This window comes from Homo sapiens, chromosome 6 (genome assembly GCF_000001405.40).
Source record: "Homo sapiens chromosome 6, GRCh38.p14 Primary Assembly".
In the NCBI taxonomy this organism is placed as follows: domain Eukaryota; kingdom Metazoa; phylum Chordata; class Mammalia; order Primates; family Hominidae; genus Homo; species Homo sapiens.
Window position 1 is genome coordinate 121,316,473 of NC_000006.12, and position 19,524 is coordinate 121,335,996.

The 19,524-nt window shown below is 36.2% G+C and overlaps 1 protein-coding gene across 23 annotated transcripts in view, besides 2 other annotated features; it reads right to left on the reverse strand.

Moving 5' to 3' along the window:
• Nucleotides 1-18,257, reverse strand: part of TBC1D32 (TBC1 domain family member 32) — a 255,236-nt gene extending 236,979 nt beyond the window's left edge. For 14 of the 23 annotated variants that reach the window (XR_942346.3, XM_047418310.1, NM_152730.6 and 11 more), the window contains exons 1-3: nt 17,804-18,008; nt 5,161-5,322; nt 1,023-1,200 (exon numbers count right to left, since the gene is read on the reverse strand). Coding sequence is in view for 21 of the 23 variants with exons in the window: in XM_047418310.1 (XP_047274266.1) it covers nt 1,023-1,200; nt 5,161-5,322; nt 17,804-17,958 (495 nt within the window). In the remaining 2 variants the exon portion in view is untranslated. Of the gene's footprint in view, nt 1-1,022; nt 1,219-5,160; nt 5,323-17,803; nt 18,009-18,140 lie in introns of those variants that run through there. The other 9 variants (XM_047418311.1, NM_001367759.1, XM_011535570.2 and 6 more) reach the window with 4 other exon arrangements.
• Nucleotides 17,922-17,971: a silencer, noted in NCBI's record as "silent region_17513". NCBI's record gives its function as "represses an Ori minimal core promoter by ATAC-STARR-seq in GM12878 lymphoblastoid cells {active_cell/tissue: GM12878}" and the evidence as "EXISTENCE:reporter gene assay evidence [ECO:0000049][PMID:35858748]".
• Nucleotides 18,412-18,561: an enhancer, noted in NCBI's record as "active region_25019". NCBI's record gives its function as "activates an Ori minimal core promoter by ATAC-STARR-seq in GM12878 lymphoblastoid cells {active_cell/tissue: GM12878}" and the evidence as "EXISTENCE:reporter gene assay evidence [ECO:0000049][PMID:35858748]".

Here is a 19,524-nt window from a genome sequence, read left to right on the forward strand (position 1 = left end):
CTTTTTCCACACAGTTCCTCAGCAAGAAATGATTAAGGGTTACAGCATGAAGAAAATTCACAATCTTTGTCACGTCCTCCATCACATCAGGTAATCAATTTGACTTGTAAAGTTCACTACTCAGCATACTCTCTCCTGCTAAATGATGCAATGGTGGCAATGCACAGCGACTTTTAAGTTATGCTTCCACTATTTCCAAAACCAATTTTCCTTCAATCATGCAGTCCCAACTTGACCAATGTACATATTTGTTCATGTTTTCACCCAAACTCCTCAAATCCCTTCTTGGTATATGGTTAGGATCTATTTTACAGTTATGCCCCTGTGGTATAGCTAATTAGGTGAAAAATGTTTGACTAAAAATACCAGGTGAGATCGACACCAGGGTCAGACAGGCTTCTTTTGGCCTGATAGCCTCTGTGTACAAGTTCATGGCACATGCATAGGCTCTAGTCTAGCTAGTTTTCCTTGTCTTCTATTAGGGCCAATCCAGCCACTGGCCCATCTTTCTGTTAACTTTGCTGCAGCCAAATGACAAGGGTTCCTATAAACTGGCAGTAGAAAATGTAATACCTCAAATCTCTTGACATTAAAAAAAGCTTAATGTTTTAAAACTAACAATTCACAACAACTTTCACCTCCAGAGAATGTATAAGGGAAATGTTTTATTGTCACACCTCATCTCTATTTTAGTTAAATTTTAATGTAGATTAACTGGGAATAAGATGTTTTAATTAGAGCTTAAGCAGATTTGGTTCAACACATTATTTTTTTTAATTCTAACATACATTAATTTTCTCATATCACCAAGAATTATCTCAGATATAACGTAGCTACTCACCAAATATAATTCTATAAGATGTTATTTCATGGACTAAATATTTAATATTAGGTTATTTAGTTTTATTATTTTTCTCCTGAATCTTAAGAAGGCAGGAAAAATATGGCTAAGAAATAATTTATTGAAGCTAATTATTATTAAACAGCATTTCAAGACATAAATGCAAAACTGAACAACACACCTGATTCAATGATGAATCACTATCAGAGCAATTGTCTGTGCGGTAACTATGGCTTTTCTCCTTTTGGATTTTTTTCTGCCTTTCTTGATTTCGTGTCTCATCTTCTTCAAACTTGTTAATCATAGACTCGACCACAGCTATCATAATGTTCTTCAGGTAATGCATCATTTCTTTGTACCTTTAAATTCAAGGTAGTCTTAATAAGAGAAAGACGATCAGAAATTAAAACAGTCAACTAGTTAAATTATCTAATTTTTTTTCTATAAAAAGGGAAGTCCCTTTAAGAACACAATGCTAAGGAGAAAAATCGAACTCAATTTTTCTTAAAGAAGAAGTGGTAGAACAGAATTCACAAAACAGCAATAAAAATTAATAGAGAATTCAAAAAGTATGTTATTTCCTAGGTTTTTTCATGGTTACATGGATCAAGGTAGTAAAATTAAAAGAACCTAAGGCAAGAGGTTTCAATGGCATGGATTCCAATTGCTAGCAACAAAGTCAACTATTAATATTATACTACCAAAACCCAGGCTATTTTATACATCACCTTCATCCTCTTACCTTATACCTATCTCTTTCTCCACCCCCCTATCCTTTATTTTCTTTCCTTCTCTTCTCCCTTGCCCATACTTTATATACACCCATAGCCACAACTGAGAGCTCTTGTATACTCCCAAGACCTATGTAAGAGTTAAGCTATCAACGTGTCCTTTCAAACAGAGGCTGGGAAATCCACTCTCAGGATGTTAGGAAAAAGATTCCTGAAATCATTAGGAGTGTGAATTGGATAATATTTAAAATCTCTTTCGGAAGGTCTAAAAATCTCAAAAAGAACTGGTATCAAATTTCTCTACTTTGTAAGTTCAAACTCTCAAGCATCCATATGAATATGAGACTGAAATCCTCAAAAGAACTAAGAATAGAATTTTAGAGCTAGAAAGAACCATAAATATAGTCTAGCTCTTTATTTTACAAATGAGGCATATGTGACCTGAACCACTGAAATTTCTATATTTAAAACAAAAAAGGCATAAAGATGTAAGTAAAAATAGTGAATAAATTATAAAATTTGAAATTAGAAAACTTGAATGGGGATCCTGACTATTTTACCAGCCAGCTCTGTCATCATAAATAAGTTTCAATTTCCTCAACTATAAAATGAGATTAAAAAATACAATCTAGCTAACCTATTTCATATGACTATAGCAAGAAATAAACATATGTTTATGTGTATATATATATATACACATATATATCCAAAATGATAATAAATACATGTATAGTGTGTGTGTATATATACATATATACACGTATTTATTATCATTAAAATAATGAAAATACACTAGGAAAATATGCACAGAAATGTCCTTTTCTGTATAATTCTGAATAATGCGTCATTGCAACTCTATAAATCAAAAGAAGAAAAGGTAGTTTATCTCTCATAAGAGAAATCAAACCTGCTGGGGAATCTGAATAGAAATCATAGACTGAGATTTTATATAAAAAGTATAAAATATATTTTAAAATTTTGTTAGATATAATTTCTACATAATTTAAAATATATTAATATATTTAAATGTAATATTTAATATGTATATCATACAGAACTAAAAGTTTTAAAATATATGTATTTAACATATTTCTTTAAGTACCAGAAATTACGAGAAAACACAAAAATACTGAAAGCAGATGGAAATAAATTAGGAACCGCTAGGGGGAGAAACATACAGAAGGTAACTCAATAGAGGTAACAGAGTCCGAGGAATATCCCAGTTTAACGTAAAGGGACATAAAGAGCAAAAAGAAGTCCTGAGACACACACAATAATTTGCAAAGTATATATAAGGATAACTGAGCCCAGAGGCCCAGCTTCTGCCTCTATAGATTCTGGGCAGCAAAAAACAGGGAAACAAAACAGTGCCCTGGCAGCAATCAATACACATCCACCAAAAGCTGTTCTCTCCTTCCACAGTGATTGAATTCTAGCTGGTCACAGGACTAAACTACACTCCCCAGCCTCCTTTGCAGCTAGGTAAGACTGTGTGAACAACATAAAGTCCCTATCCCCTTAAAACTTATAATCTGGTGATTTAATAAAGAACTATAAAAGTAAATCTTAATGATATACAGGGTAGGGATAATGGTACTTAAAATCCATAGAAAATCTATAAGTTTCGCTTTGAACATGAATGTTTCCAACAGACCTTTTAGAAAAGACCAGCATAAATTGTGCTGTACGAAATACTAACAGAATGGCCACAGGCAGTAGCTAATAATTCTACAATGTAAATTTAAAAATAATGTCATATCATCAATATCAAGAGTTAAATGAACTAAAACTCAATAGCAGCCATTGCAGTTTTGAAAAGACTAAGAAAAAACAGATATAAAATAGAATATAAACACCATTGAGTAGATTCCTTCATGCTTTGCAAGTTTTAAAGACTACAGAAAGAAAAAGCTCTAAGAAATAGTGAATAAAAACCACATCAATTAACAATGAAATTCTACAGAGTAAGTACTTCCACTCATTATATGAGGAATAGTGTATATTATATAGATCCTACAAATGAATTCTTCTGTGTGCAAATATCTGCTTAAAAAATAAATATAAAAATGTTTAATTACAAAAATACTTTATAACAATTGAAATGCTGTTTACAGATGTAGTGTTGCTACATTAGCCCTAAGTGATTTCTAAAGAATCACCAAAAAGAAAAAGAAAAAAAAAACTGGGAAAAAAAAAAAAAAGCTGTACAATGTAAAATCTTTTATCCATGGTTCATAAAGTGGAAAATAAACATTTACCGAGTCATTTAAAATCTTTGTGAGGTAATTATTACTGTACTAATTTTAACACATGGATGAACTGAAACACAGGAAAATCAAATAGCTTAAGTAGAGATAAAAAGTAATTTCCTAGCAGTACCATATAAAATTCTGCTCTTAACCATGAAAATACTTTCATTAACCGTCTAATAAAGTATTTTAGTATTCCTTCTAGAATTAAGTTTAATGATACTGCTAGAAACAGACTTACTAGGAATTATATTATCCAAAGATAAAGGTGATTCTGTTTTTGGTTTTCTCAAATCAAGAAATAAGAAATCTTAGCCTCTACAACTTATGCTTGATATAGATTAGTGAATCGAACTTGCTAAATTTACTAAAATAGCTGTATGATGTCAATTTGTCAATTGCTAACATATTAATTTAAATAATACAATCAGTTGTCCCAAAGAGGAAGAGCTCCTGTCCAAAATAATTTTTTAAAGTTTACCTAATTAAAAGTAAATTAGATTTAATACTTTAAAATACAGTCATTAATATAAGCTCAGGTATATATTCAAACGTTTCCGATACTGGAAATATGAACCACAGCAAGTTTTCAAATGACATCATGTAATTCAACATCTTTTCATTATAACACTGACGAGAAAAAAAAATTGACAATGGCATCCTGCCTAGGGCTGGTTCCCACCTTGTACCCTGAGATGCCAGGCAGGATAGGCTACCAGCAACTCTGAAGTGGAATAATTATTCCAGTTAAATAATTATCTTGCTCTTATTAATCTTTCTTAAACATATATATAGCTCACACTTATTTCAATGTTTAATATTAGAAGTGTTTTTATCTTTATTTAGAAGTTTGGTGATGTTTCTTTGACCAGAAATATGCTGTAGGAACTTAACTGTTTATATCAATTAACCTAGACCCCAAAAAAAGTGAAGGAGCAAGTTATGCAAATATTTAGGAAAAGGGCATTCTAGGTAGCAGGAGCAACATGAGTGCAAATCCCTCCGGGAGGGACTTACTTGGTTTTTTGCAAAAGAGCAGGCAAGACCACAGTGGCTAGAGCAGTATGAGGGAGAAAATGATAAGAAATGGGGTAGGAGAGGGAGCAAAAGGCCCATGGTAGGCCTCGTTGACTACAAAAAGAATTCTGGGTTTTACTCAAAAGGAGATGCGAAGCCTTTGGAGAGTCTGGGTGAAAGGGTGTCATGATCTGACTCATTGTTTTAAAGAATCATTCTGGCTGCTATGAGGGAAATAGACTGTGAGGGACAGAGATCAGGGTGCTGTCAAGACGTCTTGTTGAAGAAGGTTATTTGAAGATATTATTATGGCCATACTCACTCTTTAGATTCTTGAGTTCTTTTAGTGACCTGCTGTACAACTGTATCATAGCCGCATTCTTCACCCTGATTCCGATCAGATGTGCATTTTTCCATTTCTTCTTCAATCATAGAACCCAAAGTGTTGCCTATATGCTGCCTGAGGTATTTCACAAATTCATAGCTGAAACAAATATTTAGAAAATAAATGCGGTAAATATCATAAGCATATTCAGAAAAAAAAATCAACACAGAAAGGTAACATATTAAGATTTCTTACCTTAAACTAGGATTAAATTAGTCATTCATCACAAATCATCAAGCTAATCTACTAATTTTTGGCTTTTTTTTTTCTGAGACACTTGGCAAAAATCATCATTTAAAGATTACCACAGTAGGGAAAAGCAAATTTCAGAAGCAGCCCAAACTTCAGCAGGTTAGAAGTCTCTTTACATTTCTTTTTTATGCTCCTATCTTTAACATGTGACAGTGAAGAGTATGAAAAGCAGTTGTTAAGGATTTTCAGTTATTCGAGCTGATGAGGAAAATCATCTAGAATACAGTAATCATGAAATAAGAAATTGGAAAAAGTTAACTTCCATCATCAGAAGAGTTTTGTGTACATTTTGAAAGTAGTAACTGATGTAACTTCCACCTAAACAGTTCTTATGTTACTAAGATTATCACTATTATTAAATTCAAGACACACTTTGCCATTGGTATTTAAAGCCCTCATAGATTCCAATTTATCCTACCAGATCTATGTCCCATTACTACCTTACACATGCCCAACTCTCCATGTGATGTTTATTCCCAATACCTTTGAAAACATTATTTCACCCACTTAAGAGTGTTTTACCACCACTCGTATAGATTGTCTTCTACAGCCTAAAATGTTACCTTCTGATAAAAGCTTTCCTTGTTTCTCAACGACTGATATCCTTTCTCACCTAAGACCCAAAAGTACTCTGTCCTTCTCTATTAGCATGCAAAACATTTTCTTGGATGCAGTTATATGACCTGCTTTATCCCCTGCTTCATTCCTGACCACCTCTACACCTAGATTTCTACACTGTTGGTAGACTTGACAACAGAACAAATCCATTTATCTATCATCTGCAATATCTTGTACATAGTAAACACTTTATAAATACTTGTTAGGTTGAAATATAGCATTGGGGAAAGGTTTATCTCTTCATTTTCTACATCAGTGGCTGTGAATTTGAATTTGCTTATCTTTTCTAAATGTTTGTTTTAGTTGTTAATTCCTTGTTCATGTAATGTCTATTAGCAAATTTCTGATGACATTATGCTATAATTATACCCCCCATATATGGCCTCTTATCCTTCCTATAATTCGCCTATAAGAAAAAGAGAAGAGGAATGAAAAGAAGAAAAAAAAAGTGTACAGCAAAAAGCACTCTCCTCTTTCCAGCTACCCACCACATTTTTGGCACTAACAGCATTATTTTTCAATACTCCCAAACTTGACAACATAGGATGCTCTTTAATGTCTGCATCTTCTGCACCCCTTGCCCATCCACTCAATCATATCCATGCAGTCACCAACATGTGTTAATGTTCCTGTACATCCCTGACTTTCATTACTGCCTCCCTTTTTTCTCTATCAATCAGTACAAAGCCATATCACTTCAGAGATTACTGCAGCAGCCTTCTTGTTTAACTTCTCACTTCCCTCTCTCCTCTCATATTTTCTTCCCTCTCATATTCATCCCAAACACTGTAGTCATATTAGCCTTCCAAAAGAACTTATTTTATTATTTCAGTCAGAGCTAGAGCCATTTTACTCATACCAATACCTCATACCATGTCATGCATGCACATAATGCCTCAATAAATATTTGCTGAATTTATAACAATTGGCTGCCTATTATCTTTCATGGTCAAATACTGCTTCCTTGGCCTGGACTTTAAATACCTAATCAATCAAATCTCTTTATAAGAGTATCTCTACTTAAACGAGGCTACATTCAAAATTCCCAACAAACCTTCAACCATGTTGATCTTCATATGAGAAAGCGATAAACTGGCCGGGTGCAGTGACTCACGCCTGTGATCCCAGCACTTTGGGAGGCCAACGTGGGCGGATCACAAGGTCAGGAGATCGAGACCATCCTGGCCAGTATGGTGAAATCCCATTTCTACCAAAAATACAAAAATTAGCTGGGCGTGGTGGCATGTGGCTGTAGTCCCAGTTACTCGGGAGGCTGAGGCAGGAGAATCACTTGAACCCGGGAGGCGGAGGTTGCAGTGAGCCAAGATTGCGCCACTGCACTCCAGCTTGGTGACAGAGCAAGACTCCACCTCAAAAAGAAAAAGGTGATAAACTAACTTGTAAGTAACTACCATGCTAAACTCTGTGCTAAGCACTTTATTGATATTATTCTATTTACCATATGATAGGTAAAATAGATGAGGACACAGATTCAAAACATGAAAAAACCTAGTTAAATTCATAAGCTACTAATTCATTCACTTTACTCCAAAGCCCATGTTAATCCCATAATCCCAGAGTCCCAAAGATGTAAAAATATCAGAAGTGTTATAAGATATTTTATAGTTGTAAATTGAGTGAAAAGGGAAATAAATAAATGTAATACTCATATCTTTACCAATTTGTAATTATTTCAATTTCTTTCATTTTGCAACAAAAATTACATTTTATTCCCCCAAAATTATAACTAGCATATTAAATTTAAAAGTATAATTTACTTAAATATTTTAATTATTGATTGAATTTTCTTTAAAATGTTCAATATTTATATTCGATGTTTAGATAGTAAATTCTATGCTTTAAGGGAATAAGTATTTAGAATAGCAGAAGAGGAAGCCTAAGCTATTTTGTAAATCTAATGTCTTATAACATTAGATTGAAATAGCAAACATTAATTTTCAGAAATACAGTCCAAGAAAAACAAAACCCAAAGTTTACTGAATCATATATCATAGAAAACAGCCTCTAATCATCATGTAAATAGTCTGTGCTTCTTTTGGTAATTCATCATTGCCTTATATTATTTGAAGATCTTCCCATATACATGGAAACTTCCTATGTATACTAAATATTTATTCATTATTTCATTTGTGTATGTCTAATTTTAAACCAAATCTTTGCACATTCCATACAAAACAGTGAAATCACACTGGTAAGAAAAAAATTCAAAAATTAAGGTTTCAAGAGAACCCTTTAAATATGTCCTCAATTTTGTAATATCTGACAACTGCTTCTACACACAGTTGGCTCTGAAACAGACTTGGCAGATGTGCACGATGAGGTAAGTCAAAAAAGCTCTTTGGGCTGGGCACAGCGGCTCACGCCTGTAATCCCAGTACTTTGGGAGGCCGAAGCAGGTGGATCACCAGAGGTCAGGAGTTCAAGACCAGCCTGGGCAACATGGTGAAACCCCAGCTCTACTAAAAATACAAAAAAATTAGCTGGGCATGGTGGCACATGCTTATAATCCCAGCTACTTGGGAGGCTGAGGCAGGAGAATCGCTTGAGCCCAGGAGGTGGAAGTTGCAGTGAGCCGAGATTGTGCCATTACACTCCAGCCTGGGTGACACAGCAAGACTCCATCTCAAAAAAAAAAAAAAAAAGCTCTTTGTTCTCTACCACAACCATGCATCACAACTAGGAACCCAATGAATCAAGAATCAGAACATCTGATATTTCAATTCCATAAAAGTATCACTACTTTCCAAAAAGAACAAAGCTGGAGGCATCACGCTACCTGACTTCAAACTATAAGATACAAGGCTAACCAAAACAGCATGGTACTAGTACCAAAACAGATATATAGACCAATGGAACAGAACAGAGGCCTCAGAAATAATGCCACACATGTAAAACCATCTGATCTTTGACAAACCTGACAAAAACAAGCAATGGGGAAAGGATTCCCTGTTTAATAAATGGTGTTGGGAAAACTGGCTAGCCATACGCAGAAAGCTGAAACTGGATCCCTTCCTTACGCCTTATACAAAAATTAACTCAAGATGAATTGAAGACTTAAACGTAAGACCTAAAACCATAAAAACCCTAGAAGAAAACTTGGGCAATATCATTCAGGACATAGGCATGGGCAAAGACTTCATGACTAAAATACCAAAAGCAATGGCAACAAAAGTCAAAATTGACAAATGCGATCTAATTAAACTAAAGAGCTTCTGCACAGCAAAAGAAACTATCACCAGAATGAACAGGCAACCTACAGAATGGGAGAAAATTTTTGCAATCTACTCATCTGACTAAGGGCTAATATCCAGAATCTACAAAGAACTTTAACAAATTTACAAGAAAAAAACAACTCCATCAAAAAGTGGGTGAAGCATATGAACAGACACTTCTCAAAAGAAGACATTTACGCAGCCAACAAACATATGAAAAAATGCTCATTATCACTGGTCATTAGAGAAATGCAAATCAAAACCACAATGAGAAGTAGAACTCTTGGGTATGCTTTGTTATAAAGCCCAATCTGTAAGCAACACAAAGGATATATCTGTAATTGAGGCCGTGAGGAAATTTAACACAAGCACATTAACAAAATGTAGTCAATAAAGCTAAGAAAAACACAATTCTAAAATAAAAGACACATCAAAAAAATCCCTATAGAGAAGGAAGGGATACAGCTAGACAGGAGGAGTAAGTTCTAGTGTTCTATTCTAGGGTAGGATGACCATAGTAACAATAATACATTATACAGTTTCAAATACCTAGAAGGAAGATACTGAATTGAAAGAAATGATAAATGTCTGAGATGATGAATACACTAATTACCTTGATCTGACCGCTATACATGTATGGAAACATCACTATGTACTCCATAAATATGTTCAATTATTATTTGTCATTTTAAAAATAAAATTCATTTTTTAAAAAAATCTCCACCATTTAGCAACAGCTGTAAATAGCAAATATCCTGGAAAACTTTTAAATCTACTCTGTGGAAATCGGAATAACCTCATGCTTTTTTCTAGTGACTTAATTTTTACCTATGACCACAGTAATATCTCCAGAAGACTCATTCAAAATGCTTCCAGGTTTTAGTCCAAGTTCTAAATTAAATGAACCCAAGGACCCCAGGGTTAAATCTTGTCTTAAGAGGTTACTGCTCTTTTCAAAAGAATCTTCTAGGGAAAAAAAAAAAATCTCCAGGAGTGGCAAGCCCCTTTACAATGAAAGGACTGCCAGGCTGCCCATAGCTAAGGGTATTCTACTGACTCAGGGACCATTGAGAAACTTTCAGAGCCTCCAATTCCAAATTAATGAACAGAGTCATTTCTTCAAGTGGGCCTTCTACTCTTTAGGTAAGAGTATCTCAAGACTTTAAATACTCATCCAACAATTAATTTTATGTTGTTTCTTTTACCATCGGAATTCATGGCAACACCCCATAAAATACTAAATGAAGCTGCTATTCTATAATGGTGCCCCAGGATAGAAAATATTGTTGCAACGATGGGAACAACAGACACCAGGACTCCAAAAGATGGGAGACAGGGAGGGAGCAAGAGTTAAAAAAAACTACCTATCAAAATACTATGTTCACTATTTAAGTGACATGATCAATAGAAGCCCAAACCTCAGCATCACGCAATATACCCATGTAACAAACCTAGGCATGAATCCCATGAATCTAAAAAAGGAAAATTATTATTGCAATGGAGCTGGGATAAATACAGTTCTACAAAATTAAGTACTGTGTTTCCTACATTGTAATCCTGATAGTATTGGTGCTATGTACTAGCTCTTATGAAATCTATATCTAATCCCAAAGATTGATAGTACTACTGATTTTTTAATCAAATATTCCCGTTGCATCATTTTTAGAAAATAATCTGGAGATATAATATATTCTAGTTATTTTGTACAAAAGCCCTGGATACCTCAAGAAGACTTTCAAAAGGCCCTTATACTTATCCCAGGGAGTGCAAACTCAGATGCTACAGAGGGTAGTCTGGTAAAGGAAAGCAAGCCATGTATGAGAGAGAATGGATAGAGGTTGTGGTAAAATAAAGACATGCCCCAACTAAAGGCAAAGCTTCTATATAGTTCCAGCAACTGTCTTTAAGAAATATGAGCCTGGTGTTAACCTTTTAACATTTTAAGGAAAGCCAGAAAACTGATTTTTATACATTATCTCTCAATTTTTAAATGGTACTTTTCTTCTTTTTTTTAATGTAGTCAAAGTAAACATGTCCACAGACCAAATATGGTCTGCACAATGCTAGTCTGGCCTTTCAATAGCGTCTCTCCCGAAGAATTACAAAATTCCAACCACTAAAGATACTATGAATGTCCTATATGTTTAAAATTTCTATTCAAGAAACACAAAAGCTCTCTGAAAAACCTATATCATGCTTAATAACTTATTTTAGAATATCCTTACAAGGTTTAATTTAAATCAATTCTGCTAAAATTTAGGTCCTATCCTTTCAGATCTTTAAGCAGGCTGTTAACATTTTCAGATTTCACATATTCCAATTGTGCTTAAAATATCGAGACTATAATAGGAATAATATAGCTTTGACTGACATGGGTTACAATAAATACAACTTCCACTTATTTCTATTTTAATTAAAGTCTATTAGTATTCACTATTCATTTTAAATTTTTCTAACTGGTTTTTCTAGTTTTTTATTTTTTATTTATTTATTTATTTATTTTTTGTGACGGAGTCTCGCTCTGTCACCCAGGCTGGAGTGCAGTGACGCGATCTCGGCTCTCTGCAAGCTCCGCCTCCCAGGTTCACGCCATTCTCCTGCCTCAGCCTACCGAGTAGCGACGACTACAGATGCCCGCCACCACACCTGGCTAATTTTTTTTTTTTTAGTAGAGACGGGGTTTCACCGTGTTAGCCAGGATGGTCTCGATCTCCTGACCTCGTGATCCACTCGCCTCGGCCTCCCAAAGTGTTGGGATTACAGGCGTGAGCCACCATGCCCGGCCTCTAGTTTTTTAAGATATAGTCTGTACAACGAATAAACAAGTTTATAATTGCTATACTTCTTTTAATAATCTGTGAAGCAGGTTTGCTTCAGGTTTAAATTCTGAAGTTTACACTGACCAATCTTGCAACCTTAGGCAAAACACCTGACCTTACTTTCAATTGCCCACTACTTAATGGTGATGATAATCTTAATATTAAAATGTTTTTTACATAATAGTGTTTTCATATACTTTGACATTTTTCTCACCAAATATACTATGCATACATTTGACTAACCTTGTTACTTTAGAAGTAATTTAATGAGAAAAAATAAAAATTTGGTACCAATGACACTATTACCAAATGAATGCAAAATATCTTTTACAAAATATTCTTCAAAGAGGGACATTAAAACCTAAAAAGACAGCTGTTTGTTAATAAAGAAAGACATGTGGAGTGGAGCTCACCACACTTCAGAAGCAGCTCAATTAAAACATACAGCAATGTGTCTGATTATTCATCAGTAGTAACTGATTATTTGAAATTCTTCACATTTACATTGAAAAACTTTACCAAATTGAGTAAAAGAACATTCACTTTTTCCATTCTCTTTTTGCCAGATTTCTTACCTATATTTCCCAAAAAAATGCAATTTTTTTTTCTATGATAAACTTCTGACATGTTCGTAATGTTTATATAAAAATACGGAGAGGTTACTCTTACAACATAAGTACATTAAAAAATCTCATTGGTACAAGTTTGTTTCAAAAAAGTCATCCTTTTAGCTATTTAAAAAGGCAAGCGGTCAGGAGCAGTGGCTCACACCTGTAATCCCAGCACTTTGGAAGGCCAAGGTGGTGGGCAGATCACCTGAGGTCAGGAGTTCAAGACCAGCCTGACCAACATGGTGAAACCTCGTCTCTACTAAAAATACAAAAATTAGCCAGGCGTGGTGGCAAACACCTGTAATCTTAGCTACTTGGGAGGCTGAGGCAAGAGAATCACTTGAACCTGGGAGGCAGAGGTTGCAGCGAGCTGAGATCATGCCATTGCACTCCAGCCTGGGGGACAAGAGTGAGACATCGTCTCAAAAAAAATAAATAAATAAAATAAAAAAATAAAAAGGCAAGAAATATTCAATCATATATGGAAAAAATTATCACTAATTTTTTAAAAAATATTTTATTAGTGGTTATGAATTGTAATGTTGACATGAGGAATTCTTAAAATAGGCTGTATTTTAGAATCATTGAATTTATTATATGATGAACTTAATCTTATATATCACATTAGTATACATAAGGCCATATAATAGAAAGAACAAGTATTTTACATCTCCTACAACTTTTTAGGTCAAAAAATAAGCTTTTGGCTCATAATAAAGTTACTAGGAATGCATTCATTAATTATAGAAGGACACATAATTCTTGGTAATTTTCTCCATACAGGTAAATCACCTTACAGAATGAATACTTTCTTATTTTATTTTATTTTATTTATTTTGTTTTATTTTGTGACAGGGTCTCGCTCTGTTACCTAGGCTCACTGCAGCCTTGACATTCTGGGCACAAGAGATCCTCCCACCTCAGCTTTCTGAGTAGCTGGGACTACAGGCACATGCCACTGCACCCAACTAATTTTTATATTTTTTGTAGAGACAGGGTTTTGCCATGTTGTCCAAGCTGGTCTTGAACTCCTGGTGTTAAGTGATCTGCCCACCTCGACTTCTCAAAGTGCTGGGTTTACAGGTGTGAGCCACTGAGCCCAGCCCCGAGGGAATATTTTCTTGAATTACCTCTTAAACATACTAGAGTTCCCTAATTAAAAAGTCACCGGTGAATTCTTCTGTAAAACAAAGAATAACACTCAATTCAATAAATATTACTATGGTCCCTCTGTATCAAAAACATATCAAGTGAGAAGGCTATAACGATGACCCTCTGCATTAGAGACTGTTAAAATCATTAGAATTGGTAGGTACTTTTAAAAAAACAACAAAACACTCTATTTCTCACTGAAATGCCAGTAACTATGCTCTAATTCTGAGGTCTCAACTCTAACTGCACATTAGACTTACATAGAAAGCTTTGCTTTAAAACCTCCAGGGCCCAGCCTCTACCACTTCCCTCTGCCAAAACCCCCAGGAAATTTTGATTCATCTGTGGTGGGGACTAAGCATCAGTATTTTTCTAAATAGCCCCCAGATGGTTCCAGTGCAGCAAAGGTTGAAAAGCAATGCTGCTTTACAGGGAGCCAGTCTGCGTGTAAAAATTTACACAACACATACACACATAATGAAAGCAACGTACTCTTCTCTCTCTCCCCTCCCACCAGGCCTCAAATCCTTGCTGCCATTCTTAGAGAAAGGCAGGAGAGCTTGGATCTTTTAGAGAGTGTATACAGTTTACTGTAGAAAAAGAGAAGTGCCTATGAAAAGCAGAGATAGTATGTTAGCTGTCCCATAAAACAAATGTCTAGATATGGCTGTACTGCCTACACTGTAGTTTCTCCCCAAATGACACTTTCCCTCACTTTATTATACCACCTGAAATTACATTAACTGTCTTAAAAACCATCTTCTTACAAAAATGTTAACAGCCCAGCAACAATTTCCCCTATAAGTCTTTTTGGTTTTTTGTTGTTGTTGTTGTTGTTGTTTTTGAGACGGAGTCTCTCTCTCTGTCACCCAGGCTGGAGTGCAGTGGCACGATCTCGGCTCACTGCAACCTCTGCCTCCCAGGGTCAAGCAATTCTCCTGCCTCAGCCTCCTGAGTAGCTGGGATTACCAGCACCCACTACCATGCCCGGCTAATTTTTTTTTTTTTTTTGTATTTTCAGTAGAGACAGGGTTTCACCATGTTCGCTAGGCTGGTCTTGAACTCCTGAACTCAAGTGATTCACCTGCCTTGGCCTCTCAAAGTGCTGGGATTACAGGCATGAGCCACCATGCCCAGCCTCCCCTATAAGTCTTTTAATTAGATTATTTTTCTTGCTAATTACAGGTCAACATCACTTGGATTTAACGAATCAATGTTCTAATAGTGGAGGTGGAAAAATGAGTAATTCTGAAATAAACACTTTGGAAAGGAAGACACACCTAAGTGACTCTAGAATAAGTGTTGAAGGAGAGTCAGGTCACTGAAAGAAAAAGAAATGGAAATATGAGCACCTGAAATAACTGACCTTTAAGATCCCTTCCAACTCTGAGATTGTAAAATTCCATGGAGAGACCAAAGTTAAGCAGCTCCTCTTTTCCTTTCTCATATAAAAGAGTTCCCTCCTCCTAAGACACAGATCTCAGACTACTGCAGCTAAGACATTATAAATTTTATCCTATTATTAAGACTAAAAATGACTTTTAGGATTCTATGTCAAGTCTTACCTTTAAGACTATAAACTAGCTATAATTTGAGTCTCTCTGGATTGTTTTTTAGGAGGCCACAAGTAAATCTCTTTAGTAAATAGTAACTATTAACTGTGCATGTCATGCAACAAGCATTTATTTAATCTACCTAATGAGCTGTTGAAGGGTAATACAGTATTACAAGAGTCATTAGACTTCGGAGAGGAACTACAATGACCCAATTTTAACTTGAAAAAAAGTTTTAAATTGATACAGATAAAGCAATAATTATAGGCAAACGTGTAGCTTTAAATGCTTCTATTAAAAAAGAAAAAAGAGCTGCAAATTAATGAGCTAGTATTCAGTACAATAAGGTTAAAGGTTTCCCACATAGAAAAAAACAAAGAGCAGAAATTGATAAAACAAAAAATAATATATGTGTCTATATAACGAGGAGAAAAAGCCAAAAGTTGGTTCTTTGAAAAGGCTAATAAACTTCTAGCATAACAGATGAAGAGCAAAAGTGGGAAGATACAAATAAAAACAAAAGGGAACATGACTACAGATACTGGAAATACTAAAAAGATAACAGGATATTCATGAAAACCTTTTTATAAATAAGTTTGAAAATCTAGATGAAATGGCCAAATTCCCAGAATATGATACTAGCAAAAACTTACTCAGTAATTTACAGATGACTTAAACAACTCCATGTAAAATAAAAACCAGAAATGAAATCCCAAACATAATGCTTTATGTGGATGTGTGTGAGGTAAATTATTACATGAGTTTACAAAACATTAATCACCCAGCCTATATTTGAAAAAGTTCTAATTTTTCTGTACTCCACTGTTTAATAAATCTGTAGCTAACCAGTAAAAGCTAGTCTCTGGTAGCACCAAAATAAATAACGTTATCATCTAATAACAGGTATTAGTAGTGAATTTAATGAGAAAATAAACAAGAAAATCATGGAAATACAAAAGAAAAAGAAACCGTAAGTATAATCGTAAATACCAAAGAAATTAGAAACTCCATTATTAATGAAGATTCCTTTCACACTTTTTAAAACTCAATTGAGAAGGTAGTGAAAACTGTAAATACTCCCCCTATAAAACTGCAAGTAAACACAAACTTGTACATAGAATTTCAAAGAACTCAAAAATACCCTGATGCACATATATGATATTGACAGGAGTTCCAGATAAGTAGAACTTCAGGGTACCCAAGGGTATCCAAGAGACAGTAAAGGTAGTATAACTAGAAAAATTTCCAGTGTCATCTCTGTCAGATCAAAATGAAATGCAAACACTGGGTTAAAAACATTAGTAATAATAATGAATGGAAGCACCTGGAGGTAGACTTGTAAATTCAGAGGCTTAACTTAAATTATATGAACCAAAAGAAAAACATAAGTCTCTAAAGATCTTCAAGATCTACCTCAAATGGCACTTCTATCATTAAACCTCTTTTTCCTACTGCTCCCACACGCAGAGCACTCTGACCCCCCTTCTCTGTCTCTTATATTTCTGACATGTATCACAGACATTTAGTTATGTGGCTTACTCCTCTAGACAAACTTAAGAAACTATTCCAGAGGAAACTAATGATCTCACTTCGGTATTCCCTTTGCAGTGCTCAGAGTGAGTAATTCGTGCGGCCACTTAAAATATCAGCAGATATTTTCAAGGAACAAAGATCGTTGGAACTCATTGCTTTTAAGTACTGTATACTGACAGGAATCCCTTGAAATCGTGGAAGTATTCTTTCAAAGAACATGAATAATTTATAATTAATATTACTGTGCTGCCCGGGTGAGGCGCGGGGGAATGGATTATTAGGATATGCTGGTTGTGGCAGTAAAAATATAGAGGCGGCGGCCGGGCGCGGTGGCTCACGCCTGTGATCCCAGCACTTTGGGAGGCCGAGACGGGCGGATCACTTGAGGTAGGGAGTTCGAGACCAACCTAGCCCACATGGTGAAACACCGTCTCTACTAAAAACACAAAAATTAGCCGGCCGCGGTGGCGGGCACCTGCAATCCCAGCTACTCGGGAGGCTGAGGCTGGAGAATCGCTTGAACCCGGGAGGCGGAGGTTGTAGTGAGCGGAGATCGAGCCATTACATTCCGGCCTGGGCGACAGAGCGAGACTCCCCCTCAAAAAATATAGAGAGAAAGAGGCGGCAGAAGCTTTAGGAAATAAGAATAAATGTTAAATAAATTCGACGTTTTGGCAAATAAGAGAAAAAGTAAACCTCCAAGTTGGGCACTATTTTAAAAACAATAAATAAATTAACACTGTTGACCCTTCTCTGGACCCTCTCTGGATCGATGGTTTATAGGCTTAAAACATCAAAAGCAATTTTACTTGTGAAAATTTTCATCAGTTTCCTCCAGATGTAAAAGAATCTCTTCGGCACACTCCAGGGAAGGGGCACCCGTGATTTTCTCCTTCACGCTCTGGAACAACCGCCTCAGCATCGCCTGCAGCATCGCCTGGTCCTCGCTGGAGAAATGGGCCATCCTGTTGGAATCAAACGTCCACTCTCATTACTCCAGGTCCGAGCAAAAGCCGCGCACTGCGCACGCGCACGCGCACCCCCACCCAGCCCCGGCTACGTGCGGCGTCGTTCCCAGGGATACCGCGGCGAGCGCCTGTGCCTGCGCCCTCAGCTGCCAGTGCGTCATTTCGGAAAACGAGTCACCTTACTTTGGGGAAGCAGGGGTCCGCGAGGTCTCGCCTCTGGTACTCTTAGTTGCTAGCCTTCAGTACCAGCAGACCTCAGGCTCTCCCGACTAACAACAAAAGAGACATCAGGAATGATCTGATGGGAGGACCCGACGACGGAACGCCACGATGCGCGTGACGTCAGCTCGCTGATGTGGCTTCCTTGGTGGGAGGGAGTGCAACTGGTGTCCTGGGGGCGCCCAGAGAATGTTCGGGTGAGCCACTCTCCTTCGCCGCCGCGTTGTAGGTGGGAGGGAAGAGAGTACGAAGAGAAAGTGATCAATAAAAGAAAGATAGTAAAAGTGAAACTGAAAGTAGCCTGACGAGCCTCAGTTGAAGAGTGAATGGTATTGAAAAGTTGCAGTGTTGTTTTCCTCTAACGGCTAACACCTATTGAGCTCCTACGCCCTACCAAACACTTTCCTTACCAAGCACCCTGCTAGGAGCTATGAAGAACTCCCTCACTAAGTAACAGAGAGAAAAATAAATTAACGATTACAATACAGTGCAATTAAATGTCATGCTAGAAAAAAAAGATATGCCAAGTCGGTGCTGTGGAGACCCAGAATTAGTTTCAACCCAATAGAGGAGTTGAGGAAAGAAGCAAAGAGAGTAAACTGGACATGCAAAGAATAGGGGCCTCAGAGTGTAGGATATACTGGCACTTGAGGTAATCGGGTTAGAAAGAGGAGATGAGGAAGCTAAAGAAGTAAATTGGTCACATCTGGAAGGGTCTAATCTTTTGGCACGTTAAGGGATTCGAGATTTTTCTGCAAGTAATAGGACGCAATGGGATTCCAGAGAGACACCATGTGATGGTATCATATATAAAGATCGTTCTGCGGGAAGCTGCAGTGGATATTCATGGTCCCTCATCCAGTTTCCAGTCTAGATCAATTCCCCAGACCATGGTTATGTCCAGGCTATAAGGAACCGTCCCACTGATGAGTGGTTCAATGTCAATGAATTCTCCTTTATCCAGCCTTATATTTTACTCCCCTAGTATCAGGTACACATCACATGTTAGACAGAATTAACGTCCTCTTTGATGTTTACGCTATTATTTTCTGAAGCAAAAGTATGATACATCTTTGCCAGCTCTAGCGGCATGTAACTCCATGAAATGTCTGCTAATTGTCTAACTACTGCATTAGGGGAAAAAAATATTAGCAGAGTAGGCATATTTGCAACTTTATTTGTGGGTGAGGGCTAAAACCCAATATGTATATGTACAAGTATGTGTGTGCACATACATAGAGTTACCAGCAATGTGACAGCTGCATATTCAAATTAACAGATGGTTGTATTGACAACTCAGACACGAAGACTGAGATAGCCATTAGTGATGTGATTTTCTGAAA